The following is an 18,918-nucleotide window of genomic DNA, read 5'->3' on the forward strand; positions in this document are numbered from 1 at the left end:
TGCAGCAGTAAAGTAGGAGAGGGAGTGTAATCATTTGAAGGTTTCAGTGTTCCTTGGGAGTTCCTGCTGGCAGACGGTGTCAGTAATCAACTTGAAGTTCTACTAGTATTACTTCAAGACCCACCATTAGTTTTCCATTTATCAAAGAGGACCCCAACCTACAGTGTAAACTTGACAAGGTATATTATGCAACACAGTGAAGAATAGTTACAAATGCTTTCTTGAGTCTCCTTCCATGCCATAAAATAAACATGCTGCATCTTCTCCAATGCAGAGAGGGTGGGGAGCCCTCCTTGAGAGAGGAAGGATGGTTGCCAGGAAAAACATTAGGCTGTTTTGGCCTCTACCTAATTAGGCATTTCCCTCTTCAGATTAGAGTTACACACACTTGTGTTAAGGGTTTAATATTATGTCAAATCGTTCCCTTGATATACAGTTATAAAAATGTGACTCCATAGACTAAATTTCCATAACTCTCTGTTCTTTTGTAGAGTTTTGCTACTTCCTTTCAGAAGATATTTACAAATACAAATGTGATGTTTACAAATCAGAAATCATTGATGAACTCAGCACTACGTCATAAACCAGGTCTTCCTCAACAGTCTCAAAAGATGCACTGAGAAAAGAGAAAAATAACCCAAACTTCTATGCTGAGAAGTCTTGAAGGGTCTTGTGGCCTAACAAGCCAGAGTTTAAACCCAGTGCCACCATTCATTAGCAGTGTGACTTTGGATATATTCCTTAATTTCAGAATCTCAATTTCCTTATCTTAAAATGGGGATAACAATACCTATCTTGTAGGCTACTGAGGCATTAGAAAAAACATTTATTGAGCTATCATCAGATATTAGAGATAGCTCAAAGTACTTTCCATAGATTAATGCATTTAATCTACCAGATGCCTATTACCGAGGCACAGAGAGGTTAGATAACTTATGTAAGGTCATATTGCCAGTAAAAGATAGAGCAAGGATTTGAACTCACAAGAACAGAGAACTTGTTCTTAAACATTATGCTACACTGTTTCTCTAAATATATGTAAACCATCTAATACTAGTGTCTGATACATAACAGGCACTGTACTTGATAAATGGTATTAATACAAGTAAACAGAGCTTTTTATCTTTATGGGAAAAGAAAGACAAGTTCCATGGTGCACTGGCATACAACTCTGATTCAGATTAGTATCTAAAAATACTTGAGCTTAAAAAAGATTCTTTTACTATGTATGAGAAGAAATACCTTGGCTTGCAATAATTCTAGCAATGGACAAAAGCAGAGGGAAGTACAAAATATAGATTTCTCCTGCAACAAACTATAATGTGGAACTATTCCTCTATTTTAAAAGCATTTCTTTCAATTGTCTCTGGAGAAGGAGGCTAACAGCTGAAGCAACATTATGGGCATTGACTGGAGGTGCACAAGATGCTGATGCTACTGTCCAGTGAAGGATGTTTCCTCCAAAAGTCCTGGCCATCAAAGCAAACCCAATAGCCATTACAGCCAGGTAAAAGCCATTAGTACTCATCTAGTAGGTCCTTCTACAAAAAAGTAATGCACTGTGTTCATAAGGCAAACATTCAGGGATAGACTTCAAATGGAGTGGGGCCTACATGGTACTGGACAAACCCCCTCCCCTACAACCCAAAATGACTCTTATACTAAAGAATCCGTGTAGTCTCTAGGCCAAAATTCTATCACATAGCACTTAACAGCTTCGAAGTATTCATAATACCAACATTAAATATTCAAAAAATGCAGGAATGGATGGATGGATAGGTAGAGGAAGAAAGAAAAGAATGAATGAATGAACATATACACACCCATGAGATTTTACCAACTATCTTCTCTGCGGGGATTAGTTGATAAAGAAAAAAAAAGTAAGGTCCTTTGTACCTTAACATGGGATGGCCAAAAGAAAGTTGAACTCTGGGAAGACAGGTTAGAAAAAGCCAAAGAGAAAACCAAGGGGCGGCATTTGTGATGTTATCAAGGATTAAATGATTAAATGAAACAATAAGCTCACTTCAGCCGGCTTATATCAACTTCAAAACGTAACAAGAGTGGAGTATTCTATTCTCTATCATTACATAGGCTTAAATTTGCAAAGTTAATCCTCGGGAGGAGGTTCCCTTCTTCCCAAGTTTCCTCCTAGAATTCAGATAGTACCAAAAGGTAAATGGCAGCATCTGAATACAGGTTTGTAGGATAACTAAGTCAGACTCAAAGATACACACCTCAACCTTTTTACATTTCTTTGAGTTGACAGCAATCATTAACAACATTTGACAACAGTATTGGAAACTATCTTTGGGGCCAGATTCTGCTTGCCTAAGAATACTGTTAATTTTAGAAAAGATAATCTCTCTGAGACTTCTTTATAAAAGTTTTTTGGTCTGTAAAATAAGGATAATAGCCACTATTTAAAAAAAGTGAAAATTAAATGAGGCGATAAAGAGCTTGGCACATGGTGGGCATTCAATCTATCCCCGGTTGCTGAAGCCCTGGTGGGTAATGATTACTACCTCATAAGCACAAAAAGCTCCTCTCCTGAAGCAAAGGGTGGGCTGGTGCAGTATCAAGATCCTTTGCAATACTAGATCTTATTTGGGCTTTCTTAGAAGCTACTTGACACAAAAACTTTATGCTGCCTATATATTTCCCAATATTTACAAATTATTCACCACTGTTTATGTAAATCTGGGCACAGTGAGTTGATTCTTTATTCTGAATCTATTTCTTAGAAAAATCTTCCAACCATATGCATAACACTTGTTCTGAGGCACAGGAAGGCTGGTCTCAGGCAATTCAGAAATATATTTATCTCCACCTAATAGAAGCTGCTTATAACAATATAAATTTGCCTTCTCAGCAATGCTTTTTCTCTCTGCCTAAACTCCTCCTTCTTTCCACACGAAAAACCTTCTGCTCCATCTGGCTTTTCTCCTGTGCCCAGAGACACTTGTGTCCCCAACACAAGAGAAATTTGCACTGCCAGGAATATGTATAGGCAAGAAAACACATAACTCACTCTGCGAAGACCAAACCTGTAGTTGTCTTTTATTCCATACCACTTAACTTCTTCATAGTGCTTAACTTCTTCACAGGCTAATTTCCAAACTTCTGAAGCTAGGGTGTATATAAAGACTATTTGTACAGTATTCTCCCTTTCTTTATCTATTATATTGAACAAATTAAGGTAAGAACTTTTAAACCACTATTATATAGATATTTTCCAGAAACACTCTTGATTGCTTGATACTAAAGTATGTAGGATTTCTTCTCTGAAGATTAATGACCGTATTTTATATGATCAAAGGGAAGGAAATGGCATTAAAAAGGCAGGGTCTTAGAAACTCAAGTTATTTGTCACCTGGGAGTCAGATAATAAAACAATGCAAATGTTGTATTTAATGTGGCTAGTCTTTCCATAAGCGGTGGCTCACGCTTGTAATCCCAGCACTTTGGGAGGCCGAGGCGGGCAGATCACGAGGTCAGGAGATCGAGATCACGGTGAAACCCCGTCTCTAATAAAAATACAAAAAATTAGCCGGGCGTGGTGGCGGGGCCTGTAGTCCCAGCTACTCGGAGAGGCTGCGGTAGGAGAATGGCGTGAACCCGGGAGGCGGAGCTTGCAGTGAGCCACGATTGCGCCACTGCACTCCAGCCTGGGCGACAGAGCGAGACTCCGTCTCAATTAAAAAAAAAAAAAAAGTATAACCTATTTGGCATGTAGCAGGCACATGTAATTACTTTCAGCCATTCATAGATGTTGGCTTCCACTAAAATAGTCTCTGAGCGTAGAACAACTTTCCTTCTCATAGTCTTAGCACCAAGAACCAAGACCTGTTTACGCATCTGTTTCTACCGTATAGGATTCTTGGCAAAGGGGTTCTACCCTAAGAAGGGCTTCAAGCACAGGGGGTCCCACTGTTCAATGGAAACCAGGGTTGCTGCTACACAGGTGCTGCACCAAGCAGTTTATTTCAGTATTTTGTTTCAGCTCACTTCTGACTTGGAAAACATTGGTGGTCTTAGAACAACAGAATGTTGCCATTAGAAACCTAGCTCAAGGCCTATTTTACAAATTCAAATAAACACTAAAGGCCAAGACTTATTTAGTCTCATACCCATTTAATATTGAAACTCAGCTTGAAACATACCACTTAAGTTTTGTGAGTATAATTTAATGTGGTTTATTTTAAAGAGAATTAGAGTGAAGTACTTAAAAATGGTGTTGGTGATACTGTGTTGTAAGTAGCGTGTTGGGTGAGAGTAGTTCATACATTAGCTATTATACAAATGAACAACTACATTCCTTTTGCCACATCTTCACAAACTGGGAATTAGGGCATGAATATCTTTGTGGGCCATTATTCTGCTTACTATAAGAAAAAGCTGCAAGATAAGCATTTTTTTCATACCCACCTTATCCCCCCCAAAATTAATGTAATTTAAATATGTTTTTATAATAAGCATTACATACAGGGAAAGTATATGGTGAAAAATGAAGCCCAAATAAACTTTTTTATACTGATTCGAACCCTCATGACATGACAATTATTTCAACAGTCCAGTGATATAATATGAAATCCAACCCTTGTTTTGGTGCATACTCCAACTTCAATCATCATTCTGTTGGCGCCGTTTCCCTTCCCTAAAACAAACAGGTGTTTTCAATTCTAAGTTTATAATTAATAAGAACAAATATTTCAAATGTTTCATAATAGCTCTTGTTAAAGAGATACTCACCTTTATTTTCCTACTTCAAAACATTTTGAGGTCTAAAGATAGTTTAGCATTTATAAAAATATTATGGTTGTAAGGGTGTTTATTTAGGCATACCAGGATTTAAAATATTGCTATTCAAAAAGTTTCTAATCCAAAAGAACGAAAAACCCACTATCGTAGCATAGGGACAGCTAGACACCATGAATGGTCTGGAGTTACAATAGATCTTATGTGACTAACTACATTTTCTAAACCAAAAATGAGGCACATACTCTAAATGAGGGAGTTTTTGGACTTTCATTTCATCTGTATAAAAAGTCTTTAAAAACACAAGTGGAAAAATTATTGTACCTGTATATAATACATAAATGTACCTTTTTAATGTACAAAAATAGAAACAAAACAAAAAAACCTCTCCTGGAAACTGAGGGTCAATTTATAACCAGCAGCTGAGTGCTATACCTTACAGCAAGCAACATGGCAGCCTGAGACATTTTCTAGCCATTAACAACTAAAGTGAGTGAAAGGAAGACCTGTAGAGACACAAGGGTCAACCTTGTCAAAACAAAGTTTCTACATTTTTTAATGTGCCAAGACAAAAAGGGATCTGCAAGCCACATTCACTCATACTCCAAAATAGGCTTCATTTTTGTATTCTTATAAAACTTTCCCAAAGGAGGTATCAAACTTTTTATGCAGCAACCAAGTATGTATACCTTCATATTCATACATTACAAACTAGTAAATATTTACCTAATGTTTTATACTGTTTTAAATAACCACATCTTTGAACTCCCTTAATGTATGAGTATTTCTATCTAATCCTATTCTGTAGAGAATTCTAAACTAAAGGAAGTTTAATAGCTCCTTTTCATAAAGTGAAAAGAGAGCACAGGATTTTAGATTGTTTTTTCCTGACCAGAAATTAAAAGGGACACTTCATGAAAAATGACAAGTGACCCCAAACAGATTATGTTCCAAAAGTTTACTTGGAAGCTGAAACATGTTTTTCCCATAGGAAATTATCAGATGCCAAACTAGTGTATAAACATCTAATTAATCAATAATAAAAAATGGATAAAAATAGCAGAAAATTCACTACAATTCTCAAACAAAATATAACAAAAGAAATACTAATATGAATATTAAATACTGGTACTTCAGGAAATAATTTTTAATCTAATTTCTCTAATTAAACTTATGTCTAAAGCTGGGCGCGGTGGCTCACGCCTGTAATCCCAGAACTTTGGGAGGCCAAGGCAGGCGGATCACCTGAGGTCGGGAGTTCGAGACCAGCCTGATCAACATGGAGAAACCCTGTCTCTACTAAAAATACAAAAAAATTAGCTGGGTGTGGTGGTGAATGGCTGTAATCCTAGCTACTCAGGAGGCTGAAGCAGGAGAATCACTTGAACCCAGAAGGCGGAGATTGCAGTGAGCTGAGATTGCACCATTGCACTCCAGCCTGAGCAACAAGAGCGAAACTCCGTCTTAAAAAAAAAAAAAAAAAAAACTTTAAACTCCCAAAAGACATTCTGGCCACTGTTTTAGAGTTTCTGGAATCTGATAACACTGATTCGTGAATTTCCTTTGCTTTAGGCATGTTGTTTAACACCATTCACCTTTATTAATTAGTATTAAATGACAATGTTAAGAACACTTAGCCTAGCTCTGGCACAAAGTAAGCTCCATAAAAATTATGTGAGCAGAAATTATCTGAGGCTCACGGTAACTGGGTGGCAATTTGAGAAGAAGGCAACGAAAGTTAAGGGAGAATGTGTGCACATAAATGCAAAAAAGAATGACCTGAGAAAGTATCAACTCAGGTGTTTTTCCAACCCTCCAGTCTAGAAAAACCTGGGTTTGAGGTCCCTGGAAGGCAGAATTTGGCAAAAAAGTCAAAAGGTTACCCTTTGATTATGGTCCCGAAGCAAAGGGTAATCTTGTGAAGCAAGTGACGCTCCAGAAAACAGATGGAGGGCAAGAACTGAATACAAAGCATTTAGGTAGATGGAGCCAACCCGTTCTGGAAGAAAAAGCTGAAGTGTTTTCCTGAGGAAACGGCATGGAGATGAGGGCTATGCAGGCAGCCTTTTGAAGTGCATCTGTGGCTAAGTCTGTGGACCAGGTTGTTAAAATCACTGAATCAGTTTGACAGTTATGAAGATAAGGAAGAAATGAGCAGAGAATGGCACGTGTTGAACCTTGCTGAAGAAATAAAGGGAAGAATCATCATTGGAGTAATATAGTAGTTTGAAAATCTGAATAAACATTAGGATTTCTTCGGCATACCTTTAAAATGCAGAGTCCTAGGCCTGTCCCCATCCTTAAAGATTCTGATTGCATGGGTATGAATGATTATAATGTTCAGCCAGATTTGGGAAACACCAGATGAAAATTCAGTTCAATTATTAACCTCTGAAGTACAACTTAACTATAGGATATTGTCAATTTATATTATCTTAAAAAGTAACATCCTGATGCTGCTGGTTTAGAAAAGCCACATACATAAATCGCGTAACCACATATTTTCTGTACAATAAATATGTAAGTGTCTGAAAATATTTTTAAAACCACAAATCCAAAGTGACAGTTTTTTCAAATATGTAAAGAGCTTAAAAAAATAGATAACTGTGCTTTCAAGTTTTAAAATTTGAAATTTAGAAATTATGTCTGATATTGACACTATAAAGAAAACAAGATGCTGTATTTTTGTTTTATTTCAGAAAGTTCAAGTCTTTCCATCATAATTGAAGGAATTGCATGATCAATTAAATATTATCAGCATTATTTTCCATTAATGTTTTTAAATGCATTCACACACCTGAGTGTTTGGAATTATATAAACATATCCATTAGAGTCTAGTCTCATCAACATTTATATTATGCTTTTTCAACAGAATTGGAGATGAATCACTAGATAAATAGGTTACAAGATTATTTGGATTTTATGATGAATTGGTTTGCCGAACTTTAGAATTCATAGCAAGAATTAAATCTTTGAATTTGATTTTTAACAAAAGAAAATTGTGCATTGTGCTAATCTACTTTTGCATATTACATAGAAAATGGCTATTAAGGCTTTATTGTAAGGGATTACAGTAAAAGATATTCTATTGTGCACCATGCAAGATGCAGAAAATAATGGTTTACAAATAATGTTAAGCAACCAAGGCAATAATGGTTTTCCTTTCATTCTGGTTTTCCCAAATTAAATTTTTTTTTTTTCAGATTAAAATCAGGTTTGGAGTTAACAGAAAATTGCATTCCTAACTTAAAAACTTCAACTTCTCTAGATTCCTTTAGAAAAGGAATAAATATAGTTTAAAAAAATGTTGCTTTGGGTAGAAGTCTTGATTCATTGCTTCATTCTTACAGCTTTTTCTTTGCTTCCTTACTATAAAATAATCCAATGTTATTGTGAGGACAATCTCTGATTCAGTTCCAATGCTCTTGTATCTCCATGAGTTTTGGCATTGTTTACCAGCACCTATGGGAAATCACATACAGGAACGTCAGTATTTTGTTTATTAACAATATCTATATTTTGATTCATTGAAGCCAAGTAATCCAAGGGCGGCAGTCTTGAAAAGGCAACATCAAACTATACTAGGAAAAGTGACTCTGTGCAATCTTTCAGTCACTTTTGCAGATATAAATTGTTTAAACGAAGCTAACATCAGAGAGATGCACAATTCATTCAAATTAGTATAGATGCCAACATTCTGATTGCTTTTTTTTTTTTTTTTTTTGGACGGAATCTCTCTCTGTCACCCAGGCTGGAGTGTAATCGTCTGATCTTGGTGGCTCACTGCAACCTCCACCTCCTGGGTTTGAGAGATTCTCCCACCTCAGCCTTCCAAGCAGCTGGGATTACAGGCGCCCACCACCACACCTGGCTAATTTTTGTATTTTTAGTAGAGATGGGGTTTCACCATGTTGGCCAGAGGCTGGTCTCAAACTTCTGACCTCAAGTAATCTGCTGGCCTTGGTCTCCCAAAGTGCTGGGATTACAGGCGTGAGGCACTGCGCCCAGCCTGATTGCTATCGTTATTAGCACTGCATAAAATTAAAGGTTTTGTTTGTTGGCTTTGTTAATAATACTGTCACCTCTAAACTCTTACTCAAAAAGACTACTTTATGCATAGAACTGTTCAAATGAAATTGTTCCTCTTTGAAACCACAGCTCAGGATCTAGGCTATAGGTTCTAGGCTTTATCAATAACTTTTCCATGATTTTACCTATTTCACAAACTAGAAGATTCAATTTCAGCTGATCCTTCATACTAAAACATTTTTTGGTTGTTCATTGTCAAGCACTGTGAAGGGTCTGAGATTCTGCTCTATTTGGAAGCTAACAAGTTAGCCTGCCACAGTTCCATAGATACTGCCAGAAGATACAGGATTTTTAGGTCACAGAGAAAAGTCTTCATTATTCAAGGTACGGCAAACAGCATGAACATCAACATATTTGCCTCTGTTCTTCTTGTCCTCTCAGTCTGTGACGTGGATGGACTGATATAGTTTCCCACATATGCAGTCGGTTGCATTACAAGAAGGGAACCCTAAGCCTAGGATGCTTAATCTTTTATAATGGACAGGAATATCTACCCTTTGTTCTGGAGGGAGATACTATCTCTGTCTTCCAAGGATGTTCACTATACGAATATCTTTGAAAAGATAGACTAGAACAAAGAGTAATCAGGCCTCCTGCTCACAGGATATTTAGAAATGCAAGAGATCCACGGCGAACTGTCTCCCAACATTCATATATGTTCCACCTTTTTGATTTGGAATATGTTGATTACAATGCCTTTCTCCAAGCATTCTTTTCTTTACTATTTCTTTCAGCTTTTACGTTTCACCAAAAGGCAAACAGTATTTCAAAATGCTGTAGGTACTGAAAAAGCTTTTCAGTGATTTTCATTGTGTTTTTAAAATTGTTGGCTAAAGCTATGAAAATTTTAACCCAATACATTTGTATATTCTCTACATTATTCAAAATAATTTTGGATACATATATATTTATATATTTAGATGCCAGAGCCATAGCATGAGAAGTAGAGTAGAAACTGTCACATGTATTTTATAGTAAAGGCAAGAATAAGGCAAACAATTTTTTTAAAGATAATACGAACATTCCATTAGGATTCTGTTACCTCTAACTCCATCCTATCTGCCTATTTGCCTCCACTGCAATGGCTGCAAAAATACAACTAACACCTAGCAGACCAAGGATACTGCCAAATATCCAACATTGCATAGGACAGTACCCACCCTCAACCCACACCTAAGAAAAAATTGTGCATTCCACAATCTCAGTAGGTTGAGTTGAGATCTCTGAAGATGAGAAACTCTGGGTTAAAAAGACTATAAGGGGTATATCATATCCTGGTTTCAGGAAAAGAGAAATATAGGCAGGCAAAAATAGTATAATCATTGTGATGTTAATACAAGACCAGTGACAATTCATGCATGGACATTCTCTCCTTTGGTTTACCAGCTGGCCATTTTTACTTAGCCTTGCTTCTTGCTTAAATACAGTTAAAACCTTCAACTTCTTTAGAGTCCTTTCTTTAAAAAAGAAAAGGAATGAATAAGTATAGTTTTAAACAAATGTCGCTTTGGGAAAAACTCTTGATTCATTGCTTCATTCTTACGGCTTTTTCTTTGCTTCCTTACTATAAAATAATCCAATGTTTATAAAAAACTGGACAAAATATTTTATCCATCAATTTATAAAGAAATAACAACGGTAAATAAATAATATGAAAGAAAGTATAGTTAAGTCATTCCCTTCTGGCCAAAAAAGGGAAAGAAAATGTTGATTTTTGATACTGCTTTAGGTTGGGTTTAGATGGTCATATATTTGTATTGTTATAAACTTCACTAGGTAAGGGCTTTAGATCAGCAGTTCGCAACTCTTTACAAACCTCAGTACATTTAATGGATGACTTTTAAACTTGTGATGTTCTCATTGGTTCAAAGATAAAGTCCTGCAATTAGACAAGCTCCTTAAAATTCTACCCTTCTCTTTCACTTAAAAAAGCTTATAGGAACGCATTAATAGAGAGATATATAAAAATATCCATGAATCTATTATATTTTATTACTGAAAATAAAAAAGTAAAACCATTTGTCACCTCTGGTTAGTATCTAATTACTTACAACATGCTTCACAACTGATCACGACCCCAAGGTTGTTGGTACTCAAAAAGTGTCAGATTTTGGAGCATTTCAGACTTTGGATTTTTAGATTAGGGATGCTCAACCTGTATAGTTTCCCCATATAAAGGCATCTTGTACATATACAGGTTAAATCAACATTAAACTTTTTTTAAATACAGGTTTTAACAGTTCTGTTATTTATGCCAAAGAGCCCCAGCTTTTGATGTTCTAATATCGAAAGGAGAATGTCATAACTAACCCATGGTAAGATACAAACTGTATATTTAACCTTTAAACCATATGCATAAATATTTCTCATTTTCAACAGATGTAACAGTAGACATTGTAGTCTTTTATTAGCCAAAAAATTACACACTCAGTTTTTAAAAATTCAATCATAAAAGTGAAGTAACTTTGAACAATAACTCTAAAACCCTTAGATCAAAGATAAAACATTTTAAATAAAATCAATGCCTCAAACATTTTAAATAAAATCAATGCCTTACGTCAATAAGCTCATAGTCATCTTTGGCATATAAGTGTCTCAGTAGGTACCAACGTGCAGTTGATGCAATAGATTTGGGATACCCAGGCTGATATACCACTCTTTCCAAAAGACGCCGTGTCTCTCTGGAAAAAAAAAATTTACATTTAGTCCAAAGCATGCAAATTACCATAAGATATTTCCTATACTAATCTCACACACACATTATCTTTCTCATATTTTTGCAGATGTAGTGTCTGATTATGATTTTTTAATTCAGATAACAATAAAGGTAATAATGGTTAATATCTATTGAGTGTTTATCATGCACTAGGTACCATGCTAAATGTTTATACATATGGCTGTATTTAATGTTCAAAATCTTATTAGGTAGGTAGTTATTATTCCTATATGGCAGAGAAGTAAATTATTCCAAGTTATCCTCATTCCAAAGAGAACAGAGAGACAGTCGCTATTTTATAATCTACTTTGAGTGCTCTACCTCCAATCTTTTTGAAAAGTAGGCAGAAACTAAATAAGTCACTAAATAATGCAAGGGTGATAAAGAGTGGAACAAGAAATATTCAATGTCTACATTACAGGCTATGTATATCATATCAGGCTTTTAGCATATGTTTTCAAGGACGTGTATGATAATGTAAACCCATGTAATAACAGGCTGATTTACAGCTGTGTTCTAATTTTTTCTTTCCTAATTTACTAACATCTATGACTCCAAAACTTCTGTACTGCTAAAAACAACATAAACCATTAGTATATTCAGAACTGCTAAACAGAAAGATCTTCTAAGTAGCAATTAGTTTGAAGCAGGAACTAAATAACTTGTCTTGAAGATGCTTTTGCAGAGGGATCACGTAGTAAGCACGTTGTTATTTTTCTTAGACTGCATTTTTATTTGGGCTAGGTTTTGAAGGCGATAAAAATTATGGGAGGTGTTAACAAAGATTATTGGGGTAGGGGGTGAAGGGGAGATAGTACTCTCTAAGTTACCAACACTGAGCATGAGCAGAAGTAGTTCATTAGGAAGTTTAAATTATAGCCTAAAACATTTCTTAGTGAAATTAGTCACACATAAAAATGGCCCCAAATAAATAAATGTTAATAAATAGTGCTGGAGTTGCTAATCAGCCATATGGTCTTAATCTTCCACCATCCCTATTTTGTGATGTGTCTTTTGCTACATATTTATATGTACTAACCTCCATTTCTACCATACCTATTCTGTTCCAGTGATGTTTGCTCCTCAATCACTGCTTTACTTACAGATGCTTTGTATTATATGTAGTATATATTAGAACTAGATATTTTCAAAATATTAAAGTATTCTTGCCTGTATTTTTTACCCATATGATCTTTAAGTAATTTTCTTCAAATTTAAGTACACTTCTTTCAACATAAACATTGCTATAGAATTTTTGTATTTTAATCAGAGCAGCTTTTGGATTTTCTAGATAGGAAACCACATCATTTATAAACAACATATCTCTGCCTTTTCAATATTTATTACTTTTTTCATAGCTTATAACAATAGCAAGAACTGATAATGTAGCCTTGTGTTGGGGTCTTTTGGTTTTGTTTGTTTCTAGAACCCACATCACACTGTTGGTGCCTCCTAACACAGTGAAGAACAAAAACTCCAAGACCTTCTTCACTGGAAATGCTATCATGCCAAACCCCTCATGCCCTATAAATATGTATCAAATTGCCTTTTTAAACAAATATAAGGCTTTGTTTCTCCCTTACTGGATTTCTGGAACCAGTTCTTCCAAAGTAGATACAGATATATAAATACCCCCCAAAGTTTGTTAAATTGGTCTGTTACAAACTTTAAAGTTTATAATCTTTCCTTGATTATTTCCTAGAAAGATTTAAAGTGAAGAAGCATTTATAAGAAAAAGATGAAGATTCTTCATACCTTGCCCCCATTTTGCGTTTGAATTGTAACAAAGCTTGTAAAAGAACAGCCAGTGGACAAAAGCAAAGCTTCAAGGCCTCAGTTGTAGCCTCTTGAACCAAAGATGGCCAGTGATCATTGGAAATGTTAGCCTATAAAAATATAAGACAAATATTAACTCAAAGATTTGGCATATTTATTTGAAAAGTATTCAATTCAATTCTTTTTTTTTTTTTGAGACGGAGTCTCGCTCTGTCACCCAGCCTGGAGTGCAGTGGCGCGATCTCGGCTCACTTGCAAGCTCTGCCTCCCAGGTTCCCGCCATTCTCCTGCCTCAGCCTCCGGAGTAGCTGGGACTACAGGCGCCCGCCACCACACCCGGCTAATTTTTTTGTATTTTTAGTAGAGATGGGGTTTCACCATGTTAGCCAGGATGGTCTCGATCTCCTGACCTCGTGATCCGCCCACCTCGGCCTCCCAAAGTGCTGGGATTACAGGCGTGAGCCACCGCGCCCGGCCAACAATTCAATTCTTATTGAGTACCTATTTGAGCCCGTCACCATATAAATAATACAAAGAGTATAATTACTACAAAGAGATTTAAGATCTGATCCCTGCTCTAAAGGAGCTATAAAATGGGGTAGACTGGGATAAAGGAGGTTTTCAAAGAGGAGATATTTAAAAAACACTAAAATATTTGTTTAAAGAAAATGCACTATTATACTACATAGGTGAATAAAATCTATCAGTCTTGTGTCTACCAAATATACAAAACTCAATTTAACATAATTGATTCTTTAACTGGTAGTGATAAATATAGAGTTCTACATTTCAAAAATTATCTAAGGAGAGAGGAAAGGCTGAAATAAAGTATTTTAATAAACTCCCAATATAAAAAAGTACAAAACAGATCAGAGATAAAGGTATTAAATCAAAGTAATCAGTACTAAAAACTTTTTAAAAATTTTACTTTATGGCTAAGATATTAATGTATCTATATATTACTTGGGTTACAAGCTTTATTCTCTCTCATATTAGGTACTGACTCAGAAATAACAAAGGTAAGTATTTCTGAAGAAACAGTAACAAACTAAAGTGATGAACACTTTACTGAATTATGTAAAGAGAAAAAAATGCATTAAAAAGTTTCATTTAAAAAATCTCAAATTTTGACGAAGATTTCATAACCACAAGTATCTAAAATATGTATTTTAATAAAGTCAATATAGTGAGTCAATATATATAGTCTATTTCAAACATTAAATTATATAACAAAAATTAGAGCAATTATCTCTGAGTGCAGTATAGGCAATAGCAATTTGTATAATCAAGTAAGAGGAAGCTATAATGAATGTGAAAATAGACAATAGTGGTTATGATGCATCTTCTATAAATAGTGGCTACTTTGGGTACATCTGACAAAGAAAGTAAGGCAAAGCACATTCTAATACAATTATTCTTAACATCTTACTAAAAACCAGTAACATAAAACTCTCACTGGATGCTTTTAATAATATACTCTCTAAATTCTATGAAATCATATAAAACACTCTGTAAAGTTAGCCCAAAGATGACTTTATAAGGAAAAAGTTACTATATATACCTGGCATATTAAACAAAGTGATCAGAATGCACTTCTGTTTTCTTTTCCCACTACCTGTTCAACATTTATTTGAGAGATACTTTTTCTGTGTCCCTGGATGTAAATTACATTAGGCCCCATGAGTCTTATTCCATTTTTCTTACATTCATCCACAAATACAGTCTCAATTAGAATGTCCTCTTTTTTTTTTCAACACTTCAGTCTTTGCTGAAAAGTAATATTTGCACATACTTCCCTGCCCCGCCCCAATTCCCCTCAGCTCCCAGGCTAGAGTATGGTTACAGGCAGTAGCAGGTGGCTGGTTCCTTTTCCCTAGTACTGCCAACTCCTGTGGCTAATTGTAGCTTCAGGACCCTACTGAAATACTAGAAATTTGCATTTAACTGGTGCCATTGTAAGGTGGTGCCAAGCTCTCCAGGGTTGACAGATATTTAAAGCTCTTTTTCTCAATCTGGCTTTAGCAGAGACTCCCAACTTCATGGGTAGTCTCTCATCTGCAGGCCCAGCAACATAAGCTGTGGGGCCCAGTGCAAAATAAAGTGTAGGGCCCTTTGTTGAAAAATTACGAAGAGTTTCAAGATAGCAACTACAGAACATTAAATCAAGTATGATGCCCTGTGTAACTGCAGAGGCTGCATGCCCATGAAGCCAGCCCTGCTCATCTGCAGTTCCACTAATCTAGCAAATGTATTCTATTCTTCTCACTCTCTCCACATCCTCTAGCAATGTGGAAACTTCAGATTCCTTTCTGCTGACATCCCATCATCCCTCTAGGTGGCCTTAGTGAACAGGATCTAGGATAACTCCTACACCAACCCACTCTCACCACTGGCATTGCTCATTTCTGGATCTAACAAACTCTGAGAGTGTTGCTAATTCTGTCTGCAGCAACTCTCCTTCATTCCTTCCTCCCTATAGCACAAGGAGATACTCCTGCCTACCCTTGGGATTAATCTACTGTTGACCATTCTCTCCCAGAAACATGGGATCACTTTCTAAAACGCTAGCAATTCTCCTCTTCTCTGTCCTAACACCTAAGACTGAGTGCCACCGTCTCTGAAACAGTTAGATACCTGTTTATATGCTTCTAGACACATGCTTCCAGGACCCCGGAGGACACAGATTGAAGCCTCCCTCTCTCTGGTAGGACCCCCTTCCTCAACTTTGTGTGTATCTGTCTGTAGAAGCATGCCAGGGGGAAAATGGGTGAGGCAACAGCCCTCTCCAAAGAAATGTCTTCACAAATCCTTCTCTAACTCCACTCTCCTGATGCCTTTTTTTTTTTTCTAAAGTTTAACTTCAGATACAGAGGATACACGTGCAGGTTTGCTCCATGGGTATATTGCACCCAGTTAGGGAGCATAATACCCAACAGGTAGTTTATCAATCCCTGTCCCACTCCTTCACCCTCAGTGGTCCACAGTGTCTGTTGTTCCCATGTTTATGTTCACGTGTGCTCAATGTTTAGCTCCCACTTACAAGTGAGAACATGCGTATTTGATTTTCTGTCCCTGTGTTAATTCACTTAGAATTATGGCCTTCAGTTCCATCCATGTTGCTGCAAGGGGGACATGATTTCGTTCTTTTTTTTATGGCTGTATAGTATTTCCATGGTGTATATGTACCACATTTTCTTTATCTAATCCACTATATGGCACCGAGGTTGATTCCATGTCTCTGCATTGTGAATAGTGCGGTGATAAACACATGAATGCATGTGTCTTCATGGTATGATGATCTATTTTCCTTTGAGTGTATACTCAGTAATAGGATTGCTGGGTCAAATGGTAGCTTTAAGTTGAGATATCTACAAACTGCTTTCCACAGTGGCTGAACTAATTTACATCTCCACCAACAGTATATAAGCATTTAAGCATTCCCTTTTCTCTGCAGCTTCACCAGCACCTGTTATTTTTGTTGTTATTGTTTGTTTGTTTGAGACAGGGTCTCAAGCTCTGTGGCCCGGGAGAGAGTGAGAAGGCAAGATCTCAGCTCACTGCATCCCAACCTCCCGAGCTCAGGTGATTCTCCCACTTCTGCCTCCTAAGTAGCTGGGACTACAGGTGCATGCCACTACGCCTGGCTAATTTTTTCTATAGAGATGGGATTTTGCCAAGTTGTCCAGGCTGGTCTTGAACTCCTAGGCTCAAGTGATCCACCCGCTTTGGCCTCCCAAAGTGCTGGGATTACAGGCATAAGCCACCACATCCAGCCTGTTATTTTTTGACTTTTTAATAATAGCCATTCTGACTGGTGTGAAATGGTGTTTCAGTGTGGTTTTTATTTGCATTTCTCTGATGATTAATAGGGATGAGCATTTTTTCATATGTTTGTTGGCCACTTATATGTCTTCTTTTGAGAAGTGTTTGTTAATGTCCTTTAACTGTTTGTTAATGGGGTTATGCTTCTTGCTTGCTGATTTACGTTCCTTATTGATTCTGGATATTAGATCTTTGTCAGATGCATAGTTTGTGAATATTTATTTCCCATACTGTAGGTTGTCTGTTTACTCTGTACATAGTTTCTTTTGCTGTGCAGAAGCTCTTTAATTAGGTCCCACTTGTCAATTTTTGTTTTTCTTGCAACTGCTTTTGGAGGCTTAGCCAAAAAATTCTTTGCCAAGGCCGACGTCAAAAAAGGTATTTCCTAGGTTTTCTTTTAGAATTTTAATAGTTTGAGGTCTTGCATTTAAATCTTTAATCCATCTTGAGTTAGTTTGTATATATGCTGAAAGGTAAGGGTCTAATTTCATTCTTCTGCAAATGACTAGCCAGTTGACCCAATGCAATTTATTGAATAGGGGAGTCCTTTCTCCATTGCTTATTTTTGTCAGCCTTGTCAAAGATCAGATGGTTGTAGGTGTACAGCTTTATTTCTGAGTTTTCTATTCTATTCCATTGGTCAATGTGTCTGTTTTTGTAGTAGTACCAATGAATTCCCTCAGTATTTGCTTGCCCTTCACTTATTTAGTTTAGTTTCGTGGGATATGAAATTCTTGGTCAGAATTTCTTTTCATTAAGGATGCTTCAAAACAAGAAAATAAAGAAAAGAAAAAAGGAAAAAAGGATGCTGAAAATAGGTGCCAAACTCTTCTGCTTCTAGCTCGTAACATTTCTGCAGAGGTCTGCTGCTAGCCTGATGGGATTCCTCTGTATGTAATTTGACCCTCCTCTCTAGCTGCCTTTAAGACTTCTTCTTCTTTTGCATTGACCTTGGTAAATCTCATGCTATGTGCCCTGGGGATGATCATCTTGTACAGTACATAGCTGGGGTTTTCTGTATTTCTTGGATTTCTATGTCAACCTCTTTAGCAAATTTAGGAAAATTTTTGTGGACTAATATACATTTTCCAAGTTGCTCATCCTCTCTCAGGAATGCCAATGAGTTGTAGATTTGGTCTCTTTACATAATCCCATATTTCTCAGAGGTTTTGTTCATTTTAAAACATTCGCTTTTCATTATTTTTGTCTGACTGAATTGATTAAAAGAACCACTTTGTGAGCTCTGAGATTCTTTCCTCAGCTTGATGTATTCTTCTTTTAACGCTTCCAATTGTATTATGAAATTCTTGTAGTGAATTTTTCAGCTCTGGAAGTTCAGTTTGGTTCTTTCTTAGGATGACTATTTCACATTTCAGCTCTTGGATTATTTTACCGGATTCCTTGGATTGGGTTACAACTTTCCCCCAAATCTTGACAAGCTTCCTTGCCATCCAGATTCTGAATTCTATGTCTGCCATTTCAGTCACTTCAGATTGGTTAAGAACCATTGCTGGGGAACCAGTAGGCTACATTTGGAGGTACAGGGACACTCTGGCTGCTTGAATTGCCAGAGTTCTTGTGCTGATTCTTTCTCATCTGGGAGGGTTGGTGATATGGCTTGGAGCTGTGTCCCAGCCTAAATCTCACGTTGAACTGTAATCCCCAGTGTTGGAAGTGGGGCCTGGTGGGAGGTGATTGGATCATGCAGGCGGAGTTCTCATGAATGGTTTAGCACCATTCCCCCTTGGTACTATAC

At 36.6% G+C, this 18,918-nt stretch overlaps 1 protein-coding gene across 2 annotated transcripts in view; it reads right to left on the reverse strand.

Annotated features, from left to right (window-relative positions):
* The window catches only part of SKIC3 (SKI3 subunit of superkiller complex), a 91,084-nt gene continuing 79,599 nt past the window's right edge, over positions 7,434 to 18,918 (reverse strand). For both annotated transcript variants that reach the window (NM_014639.4, XM_047417937.1), the window contains exons 41-43: positions 13,320 to 13,450; positions 11,406 to 11,529; positions 7,434 to 8,221 (exon numbers count right to left, since the gene is read on the reverse strand). In NM_014639.4, coding sequence (NP_055454.1) covers positions 8,147 to 8,221; positions 11,406 to 11,529; positions 13,320 to 13,450 — 330 coding nt within the window. In that variant the 3' untranslated portion in view covers positions 7,434 to 8,146. The remainder of the gene's footprint in view (positions 8,222 to 11,405; positions 11,530 to 13,319; positions 13,451 to 18,918) is intronic.

This window comes from Homo sapiens, chromosome 5, assembly GCF_000001405.40.
Source record: "Homo sapiens chromosome 5, GRCh38.p14 Primary Assembly".
Classification (NCBI taxonomy): Eukaryota; Metazoa; Chordata; class Mammalia; order Primates; family Hominidae; genus Homo; species Homo sapiens.